This window comes from Homo sapiens, chromosome 17 (genome assembly GCF_000001405.40).
Source record: "Homo sapiens chromosome 17, GRCh38.p14 Primary Assembly".
Classification (NCBI taxonomy): domain Eukaryota; kingdom Metazoa; phylum Chordata; class Mammalia; order Primates; family Hominidae; genus Homo; species Homo sapiens.
This window is the reverse complement of record NC_000017.11, coordinates 44247934-44269124: the sequence shown is the minus strand read 5'-3', so window position 1 is coordinate 44269124 and position 21191 is coordinate 44247934. Positions and strand designations below refer to the sequence as shown.

The window sequence follows — 21191 nt, the reverse complement described above, 5'->3', positions numbered from 1 at the left end:
TCAGCCAGTCCATGCCGGAGCTGTACTAGGACACCCTCCTCTCTGTGCCCAGAGCGATGGCCACAACACCCCTTTCTGTCTGCTTGAAAACCCCTCTTCATTCTTGCTGATCTGTACTCATCTTTCAGTCTCTGCCTCTTTAGCAACCAGAGCCTACGAAGAGGTGACCAGGCTCTGGTCACCCCCCAGAGCAGAGAAACTGGGGGTGTAGGGGTGGGAACTGAAGGGGAGGGGCATGGCAGGGGCTGAGAATGCGGCTGTTCTGGCCTGGGGGCCTGAGCCAGGCTGCCTACAGAGGAGCCAGTATGCCCAGACATTAGAGCTTTGTGAGTTGAAGAGCTTGGTGTGGGGATGGTTGTTTTGTTGAGCTGACATTGTTTCAGGTTGACTGAATGTCAGTGTCTTAGTGTCCAGGAGCCAGCTCTTTAGAACCAGCCAGGGTCTTGGGGAGAATGTGGCTGGGGCATCCTAGTCTGGATCAAGGAGGGGAGGGGGCTGTCCGTGCCCCGTGAGTGCTGAGCAGTTCCCTGTGGAGAAAACTGCAGAGGAGGAGTGAGTCCTAGCGTGGATACCAAGAGAGACGAGAGGAGCAGGCGCCCTTGCACCTTGGGGCCAGAGCAGAAGGGCCTGGCCAGAGTGGAGGATGGACAGAGGCAGGACAGGGACCTCTGGAGGCTGGTGCCTTCCTGCCAGGGCACTGGGAGCCCTGAGGACAGAGCGATCAAACCTTCATCCACAAAGGAAGAGTCAGGAGAACCATGGGGACCAGGAGGGCCCCGAGAGGCCTTGGGGGCTGGCCAGGCGGGTGGGGTGGGCCAGACTCACAGCTGTCCAGATGTGGGTAAGAGATAACTCTGTTTACTGGGCACCCAGTGGGAGCGGGGTGGGGGGTGTGGGAAGGGGCTCCCAGGGCCAGTGGGGCGGGCAGATTAGGAGGCGGGGGCATGAGTCAGGGGTTTGCGAGCTGCCCCTGGGGCGCTGGTGCTGTCAGAACGAGTGGGAACGTAGCTGGTCGCAGAGGGCACCAGCGGCTGCAGGACTTCACCAAGGGACCCTGAGGCTCGTGAGCAGGTGGGCAGGGCAGGGAGGGGCTGGGGATGGTCCTTCGGTGCCTGCCCTGAGGGCTTCTACAGGTGCCCAGCCTGAATCTATGCCCAGGTGGGCCAGGCTCCTGACCTCCAAGGGGGTGCAGGTGGGTGGGGTGAGAATGTTACCATGCATATGTTGCCCCTAAGGGAACAGGCCCATTGGCACCTGAAAAGAGGAGGGTGGCAGGTGGTCAATGGCAGCAGAGGTATGTGTGGCTCCGGTGCGTGTGTTGCGGGGGGTATCTGATCCCCTCCAGGTATGGGCCCTTGTCAGCTTGTTGGATCCCACAGGGTCAGGTCTTGTCCACCCCAGACTCCTTCCTTCCTAATGGGGTCCTCAGACCACCCCCTCTCCCACCTAGGAGGCAGGATGTCAGCTGACACAGTATCCCCTTTGGGACACTTCCAGGGGTCTACCTGGGGCACCTGGCTCCACGCCCAGCGTGGTCAGTATTGGAGGGAACTGCAGAGCCTCCTACCACATGAGAATCTCAAAACACTTAGCTCAGGCTAATTCCATGGGAACTGAGGGCAAATCAGAGGGGAAATGAAGATGGCAAGTCTGACTGTAACCCCAGCAGCAAGGGATAATGACAGCAAACATTTTCATAGCGCTCCTTATATGCTAGGCACTGTTCTAAGCCCCTTACAAATGTAAATTTCCTTAATGCTTACAACAGGTCTATGAGATGGGCATCATTATCATCACCCCCATTTTACAGATGAGAAAACTGAGGCACAGAGAGTTGAAGTCACACGCCGTTAGTAAATGGCAGGGCTGGGCTTTGAATCCAGGCAGTCCGACTGCAGAGTCCGTGATCTTAACAACTAACTCTAAACCAGCTAACAGTTGTTTTGTTGGAGGCAACTTAGCATAGTGCTTAGGGATGTGGCTGGAGTCAGGTAGTCCAGGCTGTAACCTGGCTCTGATACCTACCTGCTGGGTGGCTGAAGCAGGTAAATGTCTCTGAACCTCAGCTTTCGCATCTGTAGAATGGATTAATGACATTACTCTTCTTCCTCTTAGAATCCCCAAACCACTTCACAGAATGCTTTGGGGATTCTAAGAGTTAAGGCAGTACAGTTCTTTGTGCAGTTCGGGCTGATTACACAAAGGTGGTGCCATACCACTAGGAAGTTGTCCCTGTCATCTGGTCAATCCCCTCTCCCGCCGTGTCTTCCCAGCTGTGCTATACCTTCTAGGCTCAGATGTCCCGCTCACCCTTATCTGGCCTGGCCCTGGCCAGCTGGCTAGCTGGCCAGGTGTTTGGTGCACTTCCAAAACTTGGGGCAGCGATCTGGGTCCAGGCCCTTATCAGTGCTAGGCAGCACAAGGCCTGCAGCTGGGGGGCGGCCTGGCTGGCGGGTGGCAATCTGGGTCATGGGTGCGCCCTGTAAGTCTCCAACTGAGCTCAAGGCACCTCTGTTTTCCCCTCTTCTCTCTCACTGATGTCTCAGAACCCTGGCAGGAAGGCACTCCCATTGTACAGATGGGGTGACTGAGGCCTACAGGCTGGAAGCTGCCCAAGGCCCTTCAGCCAGTCAGTGGCAGAGAGGCAGCCTGGACCTCTGGATTCTGCAGCTCTGAGGGCCCCTCTGACCATTCCACTCCTCAGATAGGCAACCAAGGCCACAGTCCCAGCCCCATGGGTGGGACTTTTAGTACCTAAGGCTTAGACACCCTGGAGGCCTTAGCATCTGAGGCCTAAGAAAGTGCATGGGCAAGTCCAGAGAAGGAAGAAAGTGAATAAAGATGGAAGAGAAAGAGGAACTTTGGGAGAAGCAGAGAGGGAGGAGGAAAAAGAGAGAGAAGAGGTGGGTCATCAGGGTCCTCAGGAGCAAAGCCAAGCCCTGCAGTAGGGACTACCTCGTCCTCAGGTCCAGGACCCCTCCCCCGCACCCCATCACTTGCCCCACCTGCCAAGGCAGGGGTCTCTCCCATTCTCCAGTCTGGTGAGATCCAGTAATCCCCTCCCTACCCCCAGGACTGCAGGGTCACCCATTCCTCAGAAAGAAGGCTGTTTGCACATCCCTTTCTTTCTTTTTTTTTTTTTTTTGAGACGGAGTCTCGCTCTGTTGCCCAGGCTGGAGTGCAGTGGCGCAATCTCGGTTCACTGCAACCTCTGCCCCCTGGTTCAAGGGATTCTCCTGCCTCAGCTTCCTGAGTAGCTGGGATTACAGGCATGCGCCACCACGCCTGGCTAATTTTTGTATTTTCAGTAGAGATGGGGTTTCACCATGTTGGCCAGGCTCCCTGCCCCATGCCCTCACGTGGCATTTTCCCACCTTGCTCAGCCCACCTGTTCAGCTCCACCCAGGCATGCCTCACATCTGGACTCCCAGCCCTTCACATCTCACCAGTGCTTGGCTGGGCACGGTGGCTCACACCTGTAATCCCAGCACTTTGGGAGGCCGAGGTGGGTGGATCACGAGGTCAGGAGATTGAGACCATCCTGGCTAACACAGTGAAACCCCGTCTCTACTAAAAAAATACAAAAAATTAGCTGGGCGTGGTGGCGGGCGCCTGTAGTCCCAGCTACTCGGGAGGCTGAGGCAGGAGAATGGCGTGAACCCAGGAGGCGGAGCTTGCAGTGAGCCAAGATCGCGCCACTGCACTCCAGACTGGGAGAGAGAGCAAGACTGTGTCTCAAAAACAAGAAAAACTCACCTGTGTTTTTAGGCTAGCGCCAGTGACCCCTCCTCCGGTGACTCCACCCCCGAGTGCTGCAAACGCGTCCTGCTCTTCTTCCTGCCATACAGATCCTTGGCACTCAGCACTTTCGGCCCCTGGGGTCCATGTCACCTCGGAAGCACTGAGGCTGCCCTGTGTTCCCAGTTTGCCTCCCTGTCGCGGCTAGGAGCTTCCCCAGAGTAGAGACGGGCCTTGTTCAGCTCAGCACCCCCTCCCACCAGCCCCCAGTGCTCAGCACCCCCTCCCACCAGCCCCCAGTGATCAGCAGCCCCTCCCCACAGCCCCCAGTGCTCGGCACCCCCTCCCACAGCCCCCAGTGCTCAGCACCCCCTCCCCACAGCCCCCAGTGCTCGGCACCCCCTCCCCACAGCCTCCAGTGCTCAACACAATGCCAGGCACAGAGTGGGAACCTTTGTTGAACCGACCCAATTGCCTGTCACCTCAATGCCCTGTGCTGTAGTGGGCGAGGAGGGAAAAGAGGCACCTCCACACCCAGTCTGGGGCCACCTTAGGTGACCCCTGTCCTCCCCTTGGACCTGCCCTCACATTCCTGGGGAAGGCACACCTTCCTCTCTGCTAGGGACACAACTGAGAAAACTGAGACCCCGAGCTCAGAGGCCTCTTGGCTGGGGCCTAGTCATCCTGGCTCCCCAGTCTCAGAGCCCCAACCCCGCAATAGGGAGCCATTCTTACAATCATTCAGTAAATGTTTATTGAGCACCTACTACGTGACAGCCACTCTGCTAGGAGTAGTGAATTTCGTGGGGATGGGACATACAGGGTCTTCGCACTCAGGTAGTTTCCCTTCCAAAAGCATTGTCAGATAATATGAACACAAATCAATCAAGAAACCACGTATTGGTTTTTTTGTTTTGTTTTGTTTTCCTTCTAAAGAGTCTCACTCTGTCACCCAGGCTGGAGTGCAGTGGTGCCATCTTGGCTCACTGCAACCTCTGCCTCCCAGGCTTAGGCAATCCTCCCACCTCAGCCTCTCAAGTAGCTGGGACTACAGGTATACGTCACCACACCCAGCTAATTTTTGTATTTTTGTAGACATGTGGTTTCACTATGTTGCCCAGTTGGTCTCGGACTCCTGAGCTCAAGCAATCTGCCTGCCTCAGCCTCCCAAAATGTTAGGATTACAGGTGTGAGCCACCACGCCCAACCAAGAAACCATTTAAAAATTAGTCAGGCATGGTGGTGTGTGCTAGCTACTCTGGAGGCTGAGGTGGGAGGTTCACTTAAGTCTAGGAGTTTGAGACTGATGTGAGCTGTAATCATGCCACTGCATTCTAGCCTGGATAACAGAGGGAGACCCGCTCTCAAAAAAATAAAAAAGAAGAAAGAAATCAGCAGCCCACACTGAGATAGTGAGACCCTGTTTCTACACACAGATTTTTTTTTTTTTAATTACCTGGGCACTGTGGCATGCCTATAATTCCAGTTACTCAGGAGGCTGGGCCAGGAGGATCCCTGGGGCCCAGGAGTTCAAGGCTGCAGTGAACTATGATCATGCCACTGCACTCTAAGCCTGGGTGACAGAGTGAGACTCTGTCTCAAAAAGGAAGAGAGAGAGAGAGGAAGGAAGGAAGGAAGCAGGGATGGAGGAAGGAAGGAAGGAAGGAAGGAAGGAAGGAGGGAAGGGAGGGAAGGAGGGAGGGAAAAGAAACCAGAACATGACAGATTGGGTCAAGGTGGTGGCCAGGGAGGGCCTCTGAAGAGGAGACATTTGGGCCGAGATGTGAGAAGGTCTGAGGTATTGGGGGGAGGGTGTCCGGGATATGGACAGCTGGATGTGCAAAGGCCCTGGGACAGGAAAGGGCTTAGTGAGTTCTAGGAACCACAGGAGGCCAATAGGCTAGGTGGGGAGAGAGCGAGAGAGACGGAGTGCAAGATGGGGTCAGGGAGAGAAGTAGGACCACATCGTCCAGACCTGCGGACCACTCCCAAGGATGCTGCAGCCCATGCCCGGTGGGCAGCAGCTATTTCTGAGAGAAGAGCATGTGTTTAGAGCCCCTCAGGGGAGCTAAGCCCCCCTGAAGAAGAGACCAGCAGGTCCCCTGGTATTAGCTGAGTCCCAGGGATGGGCAAGAAAAGAAGCCAGGTGAAGACTAGAGAATGAAGGAGGGAGATGGACCTGAGGGTGACCTGCCCATCTTCCCCAAACATCCTTCGCTGGTGCCAGCCAGACTTACCTCTTCCCTGCACTGCCCCTCTCTCCCAGCCCCTGCTCACCTACCCTCACACCTGCAAATCCAGCTCGTTCTCCCTTTCCCTCCACACTTCCTTCCTCTGGCCCTACCACCTCCAACACGTGGATCCCCTCCACTGACATGTGGCCCCCTCTGGAGGAGGACCAGGAGACCCTGGGATGCCCTGTGCCCCACTCAGCCTGTGCCCTCTGCTGCAGGGACCCGCGGTGCGGGTTATGCTGGGGGCTCAGATCACCGTAGACAACTGGACACTCAGGACCACGCCATGGAGGAGCTGCAGGTGGGTGTTCCCTGGCATCAGCAGTGCTCCCACCTGGAGGCTCTGGGGACCTGGTCCTAGACTCCTATCTTCGTTGGGGGTGGAAGAGCCCCTCACAGCCCAGCCTCAGCGGCCACTTCCCACAGGATGATTATGAAGACATGATGGAGGAGAATCTGGAGCAGGAGGAATATGAAGACCCAGACATCCCCGAGTCCCAGATGGAGGAGCCGGCAGGTGAGCCCCTCTCCCTCCCTCAGCTGGGATGAGCTGCTGAGCCCTAGACAGGGACAGGAGGGGCACTTGTCCTCTCCCCTTCTCCACAGTCCTCCTCCCAAGCACCACGGGCCGTTCTCCCCTCAATTCTGGCTGATTGAAGGATAAACAGAGCTTTGTTTGAAATGATCACAGGAGGTGGCTGGGAGAGCAGGGGCAGTCACCCATCCAGTGCCCCTGCAATGTGAGAAGGGCGGGCAGCCAGTTTGGGACAAGGGCGTGAGCCCACATGCCATCTGTGCCCATCCAATGCCAGCTTCCAGGCCAGAAAATGGGCTTGTTCTTGGGGAAAGAGGTCCTGAGAAATGAGGGGCTTGTGGGGACCCTCCTAGATAGAAAGACACCAGGAACCACCCTGCCTTCCCTGGCCTGTCCAAGGTCTTAGGTGGGGAGCCCCAGGCAGGACCTGTTTACTGTCAACAGGACTTAAGTGCTGGAGATTGGGATTAAAGTTAAGAGGCCCCTCTTGGAAATGAGGGCTGGGGGTGGGAGGGGTGGGAATATAAGGGGCTGACCCACCCTGGTGCCTCAGCTCAGTGAGACACTGTGCTGACGGGCTCATTGAGGCAGGTGGGAGGAGAGAAGGGAGTCTGGTCTCAGAGGTGGCAGGGGAGGGAGGAGGTCCTAGGAGGATCCTGAAAATTGCCACTCAGGGCTCTGCCGTCACCTTGGAGAGGTCCCTTCACTTCATCACTGCGGAGGGGCTAGGCCTCCCTGGCTGAATCCCGGGTGTCCTCGACAAGGCTCAGATAGGGAGCCCAAGGCTAGGCCCAGCACACAAGTGTGGGGAGCCTCATTCTGCTGAGTGGCCAGTGTGGGATGCGGCACCAGAGACCCAGCCCAGGGCACTGGGAAGGAGGGGCATCTGCCCATGCCTGGGTCTCTGAGGCTCACAGTGGATGGTGAAGAGCCTCAGGTGGGGGACGGTCAGGTCAATACTAACCGACCTCTGGTTTTCAGCTCACGACACCGAGGCAACAGCCACAGACTACCACACCACATCACACCCGGGTACCCACAAGGTGAGGACCCCAGCCTCCTCCGTTCTTTCCCATGCTGCCTTTGGGACCCACCATTTGATCAGGGAAGAGAGGAGCAAGGGGATAGAGGCAGCTTCAGGCTGGGGGAGACCCTGCAGCAGATAGAGGAGTGAGGATCCCAGGAAACAGGTGGGAGGGACGCCCCACTGATGGGGAGGCCTGGGCCCCTTTCCAGGAGCACCCTGGGCAGAGATAACCTGATTGACAAGGGCTGAGTCCCCAGGCCCTCAGGCCCTGGCTGGGCTGTCGGGCGTCACTGGGGAAGCACAGAATTAAAGACTTGTTCTCCTCTGCCCAGGCCCCTCAGGTCCCCACTGGGCACTGAACTGTCTAAGTGGTTAGAAATTTGGGGTGGCCCTCAGCTATGGCCCTTGGAGCAACCACCTGGCCTCAGGGACATGCTAAAGCACATCCACGAACAATCTTAGAGGCTGGAGACTGACCCAATGACTCCAAAGTCCCCTTTAGCTTCGGCCCGCCAGGCCTCTGCTTCCCACTCCTTTCCCTCCCCAGTGGCCTCTCCAGCATCCCTTTGGGTCAGGGTTCTCCAAATGCCTTCTGCAATGGGGTAAAGGCCTGGCCAGGAAGTTGGGAGATAAGGGAGTGGTGTGAGCCGTATCTACGGACCCTTGAGCACAGGGATCCAAGCCTCACAAGCACAAGCCTCTCTCGAGAGTGGCTGAGCACCCACTATGCCCTGGACTATGCCTGATGAACTAACTCAGGCGCATGGGGCCACAGGTCTATGTGGAGCTGCAGGAGCTGGTGATGGACGAAAAGAACCAGGAGCTGAGATGGATGGAGGCGGCGCGCTGGGTGCAACTGGAGGAGAACCTGGGGGAGAATGGGGCCTGGGGCCGCCCGCACCTCTCTCACCTCACCTTCTGGAGCCTCCTAGAGCTGCGTAGAGTCTTCACCAAGGGTGAGCCTCCTGGGCCCTTCTGGACCCCCTGCAGATGAGGATTGTTGTGGGGTGCTGTGGCCCAGCCTACCAGCTCACTCCTCCACTGCCTGCAGGTACTGTCCTCCTAGACCTGCAAGAGACCTCCCTGGCTGGAGTGGCCAACCAACTGCTAGACAGGTTTATCTTTGAAGACCAGATCCGGCCTCAGGACCGAGAGGAGCTGCTCCGGGCCCTGCTGCTTAAACACAGGTGCCCCTGCCTGCCAGGGCCTGGATTCCATATCCAGTGGGCCCACTTCCCCAGCCCACTTGCCCCAAGTTCTCCCCCGGGATCCAGGTGGCCCTACCCTCACCAGGCAGGGGCCCACTTTCCTCCACTATGGCTCCCATCTCTGACACCTTGAAAGGGGTGGCCATGTCCTATGCTCAGAGTTGGGGGCTGTTGGTCCCCAGGAGGGCAGACCTGCAAGGCCCTTTTCTGTAGCCACTCTTGATCCCGCCTCGTCATTCCAGAGGCCACCCACTTACATCTACAACGTCCTTGGAGAGGAGGCTCTGATTCTCCTTCCATCCCAGGGTCTCTCTGGTCTGGTCTGGGAAGTCCCAGATGTCTACCCTTGATGTCTACCCCAGTCCCTTGATGTTCGCCCTTGATCCCTCCCACCACTGATAGCTCAGCCTGAACAGCTTACTCAGCCCATGTCCCCTGTACGTCCTGCAGCCACGCTGGAGAGCTGGAGGCCCTGGGGGGTGTGAAGCCTGCAGTCCTGACACGCTCTGGGGATCCTTCACAGCCTCTGCTCCCCCAACACTCCTCACTGGAGACACAGCTCTTCTGTGAGCAGGTGAGTCAGTTACAGGGTCAGGGTCAGGGTCAGGGTGGGGCAAGGAGAGAGCTTTCTCAAACGCCAGCAGGGGTCCTGAAAAACCGACCACAAGCAGGGGACCAGAAGCACTCCTGTGCCCGGGGGGTGCCAGGAGAGTTGGGAAGCGAGAATGGGAAGGGGAGGATGCTCAGGTCTCCCAGGTCAGACTGGCCCGAGGACTCCCGTCACCACCCTCCTTCCCACAGGGAGATGGGGGCACAGAAGGGCACTCACCATCTGGAATTCTGGAAAAGATTCCCCCGGATTCAGAGGCCACGTTGGTGCTAGTGGGTAAGAACAGGCATCTCTACCCTCAGCCCTCCACACCCCTCGTGTCTTGGCTCAGCCTGTCTTTCCCTCAGCCTGGACCCCCGCAGCCCCATCTCTTCAGCACACCCACCCTGGGCTCCTCGGCCTGGCCTGATCTTCTCATCCCCTAACAGGCCGCGCCGACTTCCTGGAGCAGCCGGTGCTGGGCTTCGTGAGGCTGCAGGAGGCAGCGGAGCTGGAGGCGGTGGAGCTGCCGGTGCCTATACGCTTCCTCTTTGTGTTGCTGGGACCTGAGGCCCCCCACATCGATTACACCCAGCTTGGCCGGGCTGCTGCCACCCTCATGTCAGAGAGGGTAAGGAAGGGCCGGAGAGGGCTGGGCTGGGGAAGCTTGGGACCTGCATGGTGGCTGAGGCCTGCTCTCCAACCTGGCCTGGGTTACTTTAGGTTCACTGGTTTGACCCATTCAGCCTAATCCAGCTGCTGCTATCCTACCTGGCGGGGGCAGTCGGGGCGTGCAGTCTGGCCCTGCTCTGGCCTGGTCTCGTCTGGTTGGCTTTGGCCTGGCTTAGTCTAGTCCAGCTCACTATGACCTGGTTCCACCTGGTCAGGTCAGGCTTGGTCGGGCCTAGTCAGCTCTAGTTTCATCTAGTCTGCTTAACCCACCAGGTTAGCTTTAGTTCCTTCTCCTTTCCCCACCCAGGGCCCCCGTCTGTCTCCCCAGAGCTCTTTCTTAGTGGGGAGAGTAGGGGTGGGAGCGGGCAGGAAAAGCAGTTCCTGGCAATGGGAGCTGCTGCCTGAGGGGGTTCTGGTTCCTGGAGGCCCTGGCTGTGGACTCCTGGGTCCTTTCCCTCCGCAGGTCCGGGCAGCTCTGACCCTGTCTCCTGCCCCTAGGTGTTCCGCATAGATGCCTACATGGCTCAGAGCCGAGGGGAGCTGCTGCACTCCCTAGAGGGCTTCCTGGACTGCAGCCTAGTGCTGCCTCCCACCGATGCCCCCTCCGAGCAGGCACTGCTCAGTCTGGTGCCTGTGCAGAGGGAGCTACTTCGAAGGCGCTATCAGTCCAGCCCTGCCAAGCCAGACTCCAGCTTCTACAAGGGCCTAGGTACCTGCCCTTCCCAGCTGAGGCTTTCTGAGCCCCCACCGACCCCCAGACACCTCAGCGTAGCCTCTGTCTCCCATCACATGTTCCCCTCTCATCGCTCCCTTTGCCCACATCTTCCAGACTTCTTCGCCGCCCCATTCCCATCAGACAATCTCCCCTACACCCTCCAGTCCCCTTTCCCCTCACCTCCTCCAGCTACTCCCTCTGACCATGCTCTTATCCTCCACCACAGACTTAAATGGGGGCCCAGATGACCCTCTGCAGCAGACAGGCCAGCTCTTCGGGGGCCTGGTGCGTGATATCCGGCGCCGCTACCCCTATTACCTGAGTGACATCACAGATGCATTCAGCCCCCAGGTCCTGGCTGCCGTCATCTTCATCTACTTTGCTGCACTGTCACCCGCCATCACCTTCGGCGGCCTCCTGGGTCAGTGCCAATACCTGTCTCCCTAACTCTTGCCTCTGACCCTCTGGCCTCTGTCTCAGCCCCAACTTCTGACTCTGTCTGACCCTCCAGACCCCTGCATCAGCCTGACCATGACTTGCTCTATGGGCTCCTGGAAATGATCTCCTGACCTTGATCCCACTGTGACCTCTACCCACAGGAGAAAAGACCCGGAACCAGATGGGAGTGTCGGAGCTGCTGATCTCCACTGCAGTGCAGGGCATTCTCTTCGCCCTGCTGGGGGCTCAGCCCCTGCTTGTGGTCGGCTTCTCAGGACCCCTGCTGGTGTTTGAGGAAGCCTTCTTCTCGGTAGTTCTGTCCTTGCCCCACTGACCCTGTCATGTCCCCCGCACCACCTGCCTGATGCATGGTGCCTTGCCCCAAGACCCTTTGACTGACCGGCTTCTTCTGACCACCCTGCAGTTCTGCGAGACCAACGGTCTAGAGTACATCGTGGGCCGCGTGTGGATCGGCTTCTGGCTCATCCTGCTGGTGGTGTTGGTGGTGGCCTTCGAGGGTAGCTTCCTGGTCCGCTTCATCTCCCGCTATACCCAGGAGATCTTCTCCTTCCTCATTTCCCTCATCTTCATCTATGAGACTTTCTCCAAGCTGATCAAGGTGGGGGCCTATGGGGATGTTAATGCACACGGGAGGTTGTGTATAAGACTGAGACAGTGGCCGGGTGCGAGGGCTCAGGCCTGTAATCTCAGAACTTTGGGAGGCCGAGGCAGGTGGATCACCCGAGATCAGGAGTTCAAGACCAGCCTGACCAACATTGTGAAACTCCATCTCTATTAAAAATACAAAAATCAGCCAGATGTGGTGGCATGCATCTGTAATCCCAGCTACTCAGGAGGCTGAGGCAGGAGAACTGCTTGAACCCGGGAGGTGGAGGTTGCAGTGAGCCGAGATTGTGCCACTACACTCCAGCCTGGGCAACAGAGCAAGAATCCGTCTCAAAAAAAAAAAAAAAAGACTGAGCCATTGTGTCCTCGCACATGTGTCTGTGCAGCATTTGTGTGTCTTTGCTTTCACCTGTGTACATAACCATGTGACTGTGCACATGACTGTGACAACATATGTGTCTGTGTCAACATATGTGTCTATGTCTGTGTAGTCACACATCTGCACACAGGACTGTGCAGCTGTGTTGACTGTGACCACATATGTGTTGGCACCTGCTGCCTGTGGCCAGCACTCTTGCTGAGGCATGAGAGGGTGCCTCTGTGTGCACATGTCCAGTTCATGACCACACATGACGTGAGCAATGGGTAGGTATGGGCATGACACTGAGCATGTGAAAGTACATGCACAGTGAGAGCTGGGGGGACTCTGGAGCCTCTGAAGTCCCCCACTCCCTCCCCTGTGCTTGTCCTCAAGAGCTGCAGGGCTTGTGGATGGAGTGCCCAGCCACCTTGGCTTGGCTCCCATCATCTTAAGCTCTGCTTGCCTTTGTACCTGCATTTTATATGGGAGAAGGGTGAGCCCTATGTGTTGTCCCCTGATTCTGTTGGATGGAGGGTCTTTCTGTGTCCAGGTCTTTTAACCCCTTGTTAGAAACTTCCCTGACCCTTGTTTCCTGACCTCCAGCCTTCTCATGTCTCCCAGGTCCTGGGTGTACATGTGTGCTCGCACACACACCCATTGCCTTCCATGGCCCTCCCTGCCTAAACCTAGGCTGTCTTCATTCCTGAAAACCAAGCTGTAGAATCCCATTTATCCTCTGTTTCCATGTCAATTGAGGAAGAAGATAGATGGATGGATGGATGAATAGATGGATAATGGATGGACGGATGGATGGATGGATGGATGGTTGGATGGATGGATGATTGATGAATGAGTGGGTGGATGATGGACGGATGAATGGATGGATAAATGGGTTGATAGATGATAGGTAGGTGGATGGATGGGTAGATGGATAATGAATGGATGGATGAATAATCAATGGATGATCAATGGATAATGGATAGATGAATGATGGATGGGTGGATAAATGGATGGATGATGAATTAATAGATGACTGGATGAATGGATAGTAGTGCTGGGTAGAGTTAGCTGGTGGTATTTTCCAGCCCAAGCCAAAGCTGGGAGAGAACAGAATGCCTTGGTTTTCTGCTGCAGATCTTCCAGGACCACCCACTACAGAAGACTTATAACTACAACGTGTTGATGGTGCCCAAACCTCAGGGCCCCCTGCCCAACACAGCCCTCCTCTCCCTTGTGCTCATGGCCGGTACCTTCTTCTTTGCCATGATGCTGCGCAAGTTCAAGAACAGCTCCTATTTCCCTGGCAAGGTCAGCATACCCTCCTCGCCTGTCCTTGCCAACACTGCCCTATCCCAGCCCAAAGCCCCCCCGCTCCAAATTCCTCAGTGCCCTTAGCTTCCCTTCTTTTTCAGATTCCCATTCCCAATTCCAACCTCCCCTGGCCCTATCCTTACCTAGGGTTTCACTCTATGGGCAAGCCCCTCCCACTTTCATGGCATGCCCAGCCTGAGAACTGCTGGGGGAAGAAGAAAGGAGGCAGACATAGCTGAGGTGCAGGACAGGGCATTAGATGCTGATGGATCCCCTGGAAGAGCAGGGCCCCGTGGGTGAATATAGGGCAGGAGGAAGGCAGGAGGTGGGGAGTGACTGGGCACTGACCACTGGTCCTTTCACCTGCCCCCAGCTGCGTCGGGTCATCGGGGACTTCGGGGTCCCCATCTCCATCCTGATCATGGTCCTGGTGGATTTCTTCATTCAGGATACCTACACCCAGGTGACCCCTCCTCCCAGCCCTCAGACCATGATACCCCCCAGGTCCTCATTTCCACCCCCCAGCATGCCCCTTCCCTAGAATAGCTTTCCCCAACCTGAAGCCAGCTGGGACTACCTCTACCCCATCCCTGCCTCCTCTGGGAGTCCCATGTGCTTCTCACAGCCCCAGAGGACCCCTGTGGCCAAAGCAAGGTGCTGGGCCAGGTTGCCACCTTCATTCCTTAACCCAGAGCAGTAGGAAGAAGTATTCTTTGGAGCCAGGCAGATCTAGGCATGAATCCCAGCTCTGCCATCAAATAGCTGTGTGATGTGGGGCAAGCTACATAACCTCTCTGATTCTCTTTCCTCATCTTTAAAGTGGGGAACGAGCAGATGGATGTAAAGGGATTAGTGTAATGATTAGGTACAGAGCAAGTGCTCAATATAAGTAAGTTCCCAAGTGCCTCCAACCTAACTGCCCGACCCCTAGGACCCTGGCTCCTCCTGCTCCCACCCTTCCCCATCCTCCTGCCCTTGGCATTCTTACCTGCTACCCCCTCCCACAGAAACTCTCGGTGCCTGATGGCTTCAAGGTGTCCAACTCCTCAGCCCGGGGCTGGGTCATCCACCCACTGGGCTTGCGTTCCGAGTTTCCCATCTGGATGATGTTTGCCTCCGCCCTGCCTGCTCTGCTGGTCTTCATCCTCATATTCCTGGAGTCTCAGATCACCACGTGAGAGACAGGGTGGGGGCTGGGCCTGGGAGGGTGGGAGGCAGGGACCTTTCCCTGGCATTCTCCCAGGCAGGCAAGAGACCCAGGACTGCAAGCTAGTCCCTGCGGGTGTGTGGCCCTCCCGACTAGCAGGAATAGTGAAAAGCCAGGGGCAGTTCCAGGTTTTGTGGGACCAGAAGTTGTATAATTTGGAGAGCTCTTTTTAAGAAAAAAAAAACGTGGCCGGGCGCGGTGGCTCACGCCCGTAATCCCAACAGTTTGAGAGGCCGAGGCGGGCAGATCACCTGAGGTCAGGAGTTCGAGACCAGCTTGGCTAACATGGTGAAGCCCTGTTTCTACTAAAAATACAAAAAATTAGGCGGGCATGGTGGCACGAGCCTGTAATCTCAGCTACTTGGGAGGCTGAGGCAGGAGAATCGCTTGAACCCGGGAGGCGGAGGTTGCAGTGAGCCGAGATCTCGCCATTGCACTCCAACTTGGGCAACGAGAGTGAAACTCCATCTCAAAAAAAAAAAAAAAAAAAAAGCGCCAGGTGAGGTGGCTCACATCTGTAATCCTAGCACTTTGGGAAGCCAAGACGGGGGGATCACGAGGTCAGTAGTTTGAGACCAGCCTGACTAATATGGTGAAACCCCGTTTCTACTAAAAATACAAAAATTAACCGAGTGTGGTGGCATGTGCCCGTAGTCCCAGCTACTTGGGAGGCTGAAGCAGGAAAATCACTTGAACCCGGGAGGCAGAGGTTGCAGTGAGCCAAAATCGCACCACTGCACTCCAGCCTGGGCGACAGAGCAAGACTCTAGGAAAAAAAAGAAAAAGAAAAAAAAATGCAAAATGACAACTATAAAATTAGGTGCTGGATCTTGGAGGGGCCTGTACAAGCAAAGCTCCCTGAAGCTGAAGCTTCGTTGCCTGCGAATCAGCCTTGAATGTTGTGAAGACATTTCTGCTCTTAAGAGTTTGGATTCTCAAGATGGGGCGGGAGGGAGGGGAGCAAGGAACTCAAAGAGCGAGGGGCACAGAAGACAAAACTGAGCTACAAGGACACCAAGTATGGAGAAGGAAGGAGGGGGTGGAGGAGGCAGGGGAGAACCCTGCTTACCCCTCACCTTCCCCTACCGTAGGCTGATTGTCAGCAAACCTGAGCGCAAGATGGTCAAGGGCTCCGGCTTCCACCTGGACCTGCTGCTGGTAGTAGGCATGGGTGGGGTGGCCGCCCTCTTTGGGATGCCCTGGCTCAGTGCCACCACCGTGCGTTCCGTCACCCATGCCAACGCCCTCACTGTCATGGGCAAAGCCAGCACCCCAGGGGCTGCAGCCCAGATCCAGGAGGTCAAAGAGCAGCGGATCAGTGGACTCCTGGTCGCTGTGCTTGTGGGTGAGTGAAAGCTGGGTCGCGTCTTCACCATCCTCCTGCCCCTCACCCCCGGCCCCTTCCCCTTCCCCTTTCTGTTCGGACCCAGCACCTCCTCCAGCCTCCCCCATCCTGCACCACTTCCCCACATCTCCCCAGCATCCCCTACTCACACGAGGGGATCCTGGAGGAAAGGCCAAGGCACTGGGCTGGGCGTCTGAGCAGGGAGGAAGGGGGCTCCACTCCGAGGCCTTCTCCAGACCAGACCCCACCTTCTGACTTACCCAACAGAAGTCCAGTGAACTGTGGGTTCTAGCCCTGCCCTGCTGCTAACCCAGTATCCCTCCTTGTCTCTGGGTCTCAGTTTCCCTGTCTGCACAGTTGGAGGGTTCAACAGATGTCCCCCAGTTCTCTTCCAGCTCAGCTGCTCCATGACTGATACAAGGGGCGGTGCTCTAGCCATAGTCCAGGGATGTGGGGGAGAAGAAAGAAGGGTCACTGGGGTTGATTTCAGTTCTGGAGCAGCCAAGAGTCGAGCTGGGTTCGGTGTGGGCAGTGCCATGGTTGCAGATGGAGAGGTCAGGGAAAATTCTTAAAGGAGGCAGTTGATGGCATTCTGGGCTGGGGTGAGGAGAAAGGTGTGTGTGTTTGACCTCTGTGACCCTCATTAGGTTAAGGGAGTGGGCTTAAGTCAGGCAGGCAGGGCTTTGACTCCTTGCCAGCTGTGTGGCCTTAGGCAGGTTGTTTACCTCTCTGAGCCTGTTTCCTCATCTGTAAAATTGGGGTAATACCTATAAAAAGGACCGATAGAGGCCGGGGGTTGTGGCTCACGCCTGTAATCCCAGCACTTTGGGAGACTGAGGCAGGTGGGTCACCCTGTCCAACATGGTGAAACCACGTCTCTACTAAAATTACAAAATCAGCTGGGCGTGGTGTCGCACGCCTATAATCCCAGCTACTTGGGAGGCTGAGGCAGGAGAATTGCTTGAACCCAGGAGGCGGAGGTTGAAGTGAGCTGAGATTGCACCACTGCACTCCAGCCTGGGCAACAGAGTGAGACTCCGCCTCAAAAAAAAAAAAAAAAAAAAAAAAAAGACCCATAGGAATAGCTCCAGGCCAGGCGTGGGATCTCAACACTTTGGGAGGCCAAGGCAGGAGAATCACTTGAGCCCAGGAGTTCAAGACTAGCCTGGGCAACATAGTGAGACCTTGTCTCTACTAAAAATTAAAAAAAAAAAAAATGATCCAGGTGTGGTTGTATGTGCCTGTAGTTCCAGCAACTAGGGACACTGAAGCGGGAGGATCACTTGGGATCAGGAGGTTAAGTCTGTTGTGAGCCGAGATCACACTACTGCACTCTGGCTTGGGTGACAGAGCGAGATCCTGTCTCAAAAAAAAAAACAAAAAAAAAAAAAAAAAAAGAAAAGAAAAGGAAAAAAGAAATGGCTCCATATGGTGCCTGTGTTTTATTCCCAGCCCCAGATAGGGGCCTGACCCCCCACTGGTGCCAGGCCTCGGGCAACCTGGGCTGAGAGTGTGCGGCTCCCCCACAGGCCTGTCCATCCTCATGGAGCCCATCCTGTCCCGCATCCCCCTGGCTGTACTGTTTGGCATCTTCCTCTACATGGGGGTCACGTCGCTCAGCGGCATCCAGCTCTTTGACCGCATCTTGCTTCTGTTCAAGCCACCCAAGTATCACCCAGATGTGCCCTACGTCAAGCGGGTACAGGACCCTTTTCTGGCTGCCCAGCCTGGGGTGGTAGAGGGTGCTGGGGTGTGATAGGCACTGACCCCAGCCTCCGCCTGCAGGTGAAGACCTGGCGCATGCACTTATTCACGGGCATCCAGATCATCTGCCTGGCAGTGCTGTGGGTGGTGAAGTCCACGCCGGCCTCCCTGGCCCTGCCCTTCGTCCTCATCCTCACTGTGCCGCTGCGGCGCGTCCTGCTGCCGCTCATCTTCAGGAACGTGGAGCTTCAGTGTGTGAGTGGCTGCCTGGGCCTGGGGCACAAGAGCTGGGAGCATGCGAGGGGCGCGTCTCAGAACTAGGGCAGGCAGGACAGAGTCATGGGTAAAGTCTGGGGCTAGGGCTGGTGTCCAGGTTCTGGCCTGCTGTGTCCTAGCATATGATCTGGAGCACGGGGCCTTGTTTCTCTGTGTCTTCATTTTGCTCACCTGTAAAGGGGGAAATGATGGCACGACTGGGGAGAGCGTCAAGAGGCAGACAGGGTGTGCTGTGAGTGAGCTGGACCCCTAAGCAGCAAGTCCTGCCGTCTTCCGAGTCATTTGGGACAGAGTCACTCCTCTAATAGGATTCTTCCACAGGGTGACTCAGGTCACTGTGGGGCCGCCTTGGTGAAAAGGTCCCCTGCTCACCCTCTGCAGGCCCTCCCCTGCCAGGGTCCACATCCCCGGGGTTGCCTCTCACTTTGACAACGACTCATTTAGGCCAGTCCTAGCTGCTGGGGAGATAAAACAGGACTGGTCCAAGGTTCAAGACAGCCAGACCCTCTCCTAACTCCAGAGGTGCCTTTCGTGCCCGGGGAGGGCTCTTCTGGCCCCAGGGTCTCTCACCCTGTCTCTCTCCTGTCCCTCCCCTCCAGCTGGATGCTGATGATGCCAAGGCAACCTTTGATGAGGAGGAAGGTCGGGATGAATACGACGAAGTGGCCATGCCTGTGTGAGGGGCGGGCCCAGGCCCTAGACCCTCCCCCACCATTCCACATCCCCACCTTCCAAGGAAAAGCAGAAGTTCATGGGCACCTCATGGACTCCAGGATCCTCCTGGAGCAGCAGCTGAGGCCCCAGGGCTGTGGGTGGGGAAGGAAGGCGTGTCCAGGAGACCTTCCACAAAGGGTAGCCTGGCTTTTCTGGCTGGGGATGGCCGATGGGGCCCACATTAGGGGGTTTGTTGCACAGTCCCTCCTGTTGCCACACTTTCACTGGGGATCCCGTGCTGGAAGACTTAGATCTGAGCCCTCCCTCTTCCCAGCACAGGCAGGGGTAGAAGCAAAGGCAGGAGGTGGGTGAGCGGGTGGGGTGCTTGCTGTGTGACCTTGGGCAAGTCCCTTGACCTTTCCAGCCTATATTTCCTCTTCTGTAAAATGGGTATATTGATGATAATACCCACATTACAGGATGGTTACTGAGGACCAAAGATACATGTAAAATAGGGCTTTGTAAACTCCACAGGGACTGTTCTATAGCAGTCATCATTTGTCTTTGAACGTACCCAAGGTCACATAGCTGGGATTTGAACTGAGCCGTGCAGCTGGGATTTGAACCAGGCCTTCTGATTTCAAGGTCCGAGCTCTGTCCTCTGTCAGTCATGCGTCCACTTTCCCTTCCCCTGTGACTCCTCCCTTCCCCACTCTGCTCCCAGCCCCTACCTTGAGACCCTCTTCTCTGGGCCCAGAGAGAGGCGTCCTGGTGAGGACAAGGTACAGGCAAGGATGATCCAGGGATTGGGCCTGGGACTCAGGCCTCCTAAGTGTTTGGTTCCTCCCTCCAAACACTCATTAGTTCACTCATTCATTCATTCCACAAACATTTACTGAGGGCCCCGGAATCAGTGGACTCCGAGGGGACTGAGACAAGCCCTGCCCTGGGGTGGGGGTGGGGGGCAAGGTACAGTTGATTCTACATTTGGATAGGGAGTGGGGGAGGGTGGGAAGGTAGGGGCGGGAGAGTGAGGGGGTTTGTAATTTATTAATTGCGTATTTTCTAAGAGTTTTCAACATAGTTTGGCTTCACACACAACTTCAGGCCCCTCATTTGAGAGCCATTATCCTCAACTCCATCTAAACTGAATCTTGGGGAGAACCCAGATCTGACCAATTGGGGTAGGAGACAGCAGGCTCTCCAAGAACATGGGCAAATTTATTTTTTTATAAAACAAAAAGATAAAAAGAGTTGAAAGACGTGAAAGTGGTGAGAGATGGAGGAAACAGAATCAGGAAGTGGTAGAAAAGAGAGGAGGTGGCTGGGCGCAGTGGCTCACGTTTGTAATCCCAGCACTTTGGGAGGCCAAGTTGGGCGGATCATTTGAGGTCAGGAGTTTGAGACCAGCCTGGCCAACATGGTGAAACCCCGTTACTACTAAAAATACAAAAATTAGCTGGGTGTCTCGTGGCAGGCACCTGTAATCCCAGCTACTTAGAAGGCTGAGGCAAGAGAATCACCTGAACCCAGGAGGTGGAGGTTGCAGTGAGCCAAGATTGCACCACTGCACTCCAGCCTGGGCAACAGAGCGAGACCCTGTCTCAAAAAAAAAAAAAAAAAAAAAAAAAAAACGGAAGGAAACATCAGCCTTGGGGGCCACAGACTCAACATGTGTGTGTGGTGGGGTTCCAGCCCAACATAGAGTAACATTATTTGTACCTCCCAGGCTAGCTCAGTCCATGGGAGGCTCTCCTGTCCCTGAAAGCTGACACCCACCTTTCACCACTTCGCCCATGCTACAGTTCAGTTTCCTCGTCTGTAAAATGGGGATGATAATGGTACCTACCTTGCAGTGTTGTTATAAGGATTAAAGGAGACAGTGCAAGAAAAGGCCTTGGTTGGTGAAGAGCCCAACCTCGGAGGGGAGCTGCTGGGATCCTCCTTATCTTGACTGGGATGTCCCTGTCTCCCCCTCCCCTTGCTCCTTGAACATGGCCAAGGAAAGTGAAAAACAAAAATTATTCACTCTGCTAGCACCCTTCCCCTTGATGCCTGGGAATAGGTTTTGCCAATAAACGTATCTGTGTTGGAGTGGCTGCCTTGCCTGAATTCCCGTTCCCAGAGTCGGGGGTCCCGGGGGTCTTGGCTGAACTAGGTGGGCATGGTGTGTGTGGCACGGGCCTGGCACAGGGCTGCATCTATGCAGCAAGGGGAGCCAGGCTGAGGTGTGACCCTGAGCCCTAGGGTGGGAGGCCAGCACCCAGAGAGTGGGTAGGGAGCAAGAGATGAGATTATGCTCTGAGACTCCTTCCTCTCCTGAATAAGCAAGACCTGTGGGGGTGGGAGGAGGGACTGTAAGGGGACCTTGCCCCCTGCTCCTTATACTTGTGAGCCCCCAATTCCCTTTAGATCAGTGGACCCCTTACCGGGAAGCTGGACAGCACCTTTGACAGAGATGACCAGAGAAGAAAACAGAGGCCCAGAGAGGGCACATGGCCACACAGGCACAGCGTCTCCTGGCCAGCTTTCTGCTTACCCTCATCCTGG

General features: G+C 56.1%; 1 protein-coding gene across 4 annotated transcripts, besides 1 other annotated feature; it reads left to right on the top strand.

Moving 5' to 3' along the window:
- Window positions 990-20735, top strand: SLC4A1 (solute carrier family 4 member 1 (Diego blood group)). Of its 4 annotated transcripts, NM_000342.4 has the most exons (20): window positions 990-1071; window positions 6191-6273; window positions 6399-6489; window positions 7489-7550; window positions 8310-8490; window positions 8586-8721; window positions 9193-9316; window positions 9544-9628; window positions 9781-9962; window positions 10502-10712; window positions 10945-11139; window positions 11318-11466; window positions 11581-11775; window positions 13279-13452; window positions 13829-13918; window positions 14463-14629; window positions 15754-16007; window positions 17537-17706; window positions 17793-17966; window positions 18587-20735. In NM_000342.4, exons 2-20 carry the CDS (start codon window positions 6259-6261, stop codon window positions 18665-18667), a joined length of 2736 nt encoding a protein of 911 aa, NP_000333.1. In that variant the 5' UTR covers window positions 990-1071; window positions 6191-6258; the 3' UTR covers window positions 18668-20735. The 4 variants fall into 4 exon arrangements, with proteins under 4 accessions (NP_000333.1, XP_011523431.1, XP_011523432.1 ...); XM_011525129.3 differs by lacking the exon at window positions 13829-13918; XM_011525130.2 differs by lacking the exons at window positions 17793-17966; window positions 18587-20735 and having other exon boundaries at window positions 17460-17548.
- Window positions 11095-12051: an enhancer, noted in NCBI's record as "H3K4me1 hESC enhancer chr17:42334442-42335398 (GRCh37/hg19 assembly coordinates)". NCBI's record gives its function as "activates a minimal SCP1, AML or CMV promoter by ChIP-STARR-seq in primed H9 embryonic stem cells {active_cell/tissue: H9 hESC(primed)}" and the evidence as "EXISTENCE:reporter gene assay evidence [ECO:0000049][PMID:30033119]".

What these genes read in the sequence shown, in the direction of transcription:
- SLC4A1 (NM_000342.4), top strand. An exon ending in CTTTCTCCAAGCTGATCAAG is followed by an intron (nt 11,776 to 13,278) that starts GTGGGGGCCTAT and finishes TTTCTGCTGCAG; the next exon opens with ATCTTCCAGGACCACCCACT. An exon ending in GCTCCTATTTCCCTGGCAAG is followed by an intron (nt 13,453 to 13,828) that starts GTCAGCATACCC and finishes ACCTGCCCCCAG; the next exon opens with CTGCGTCGGGTCATCGGGGA.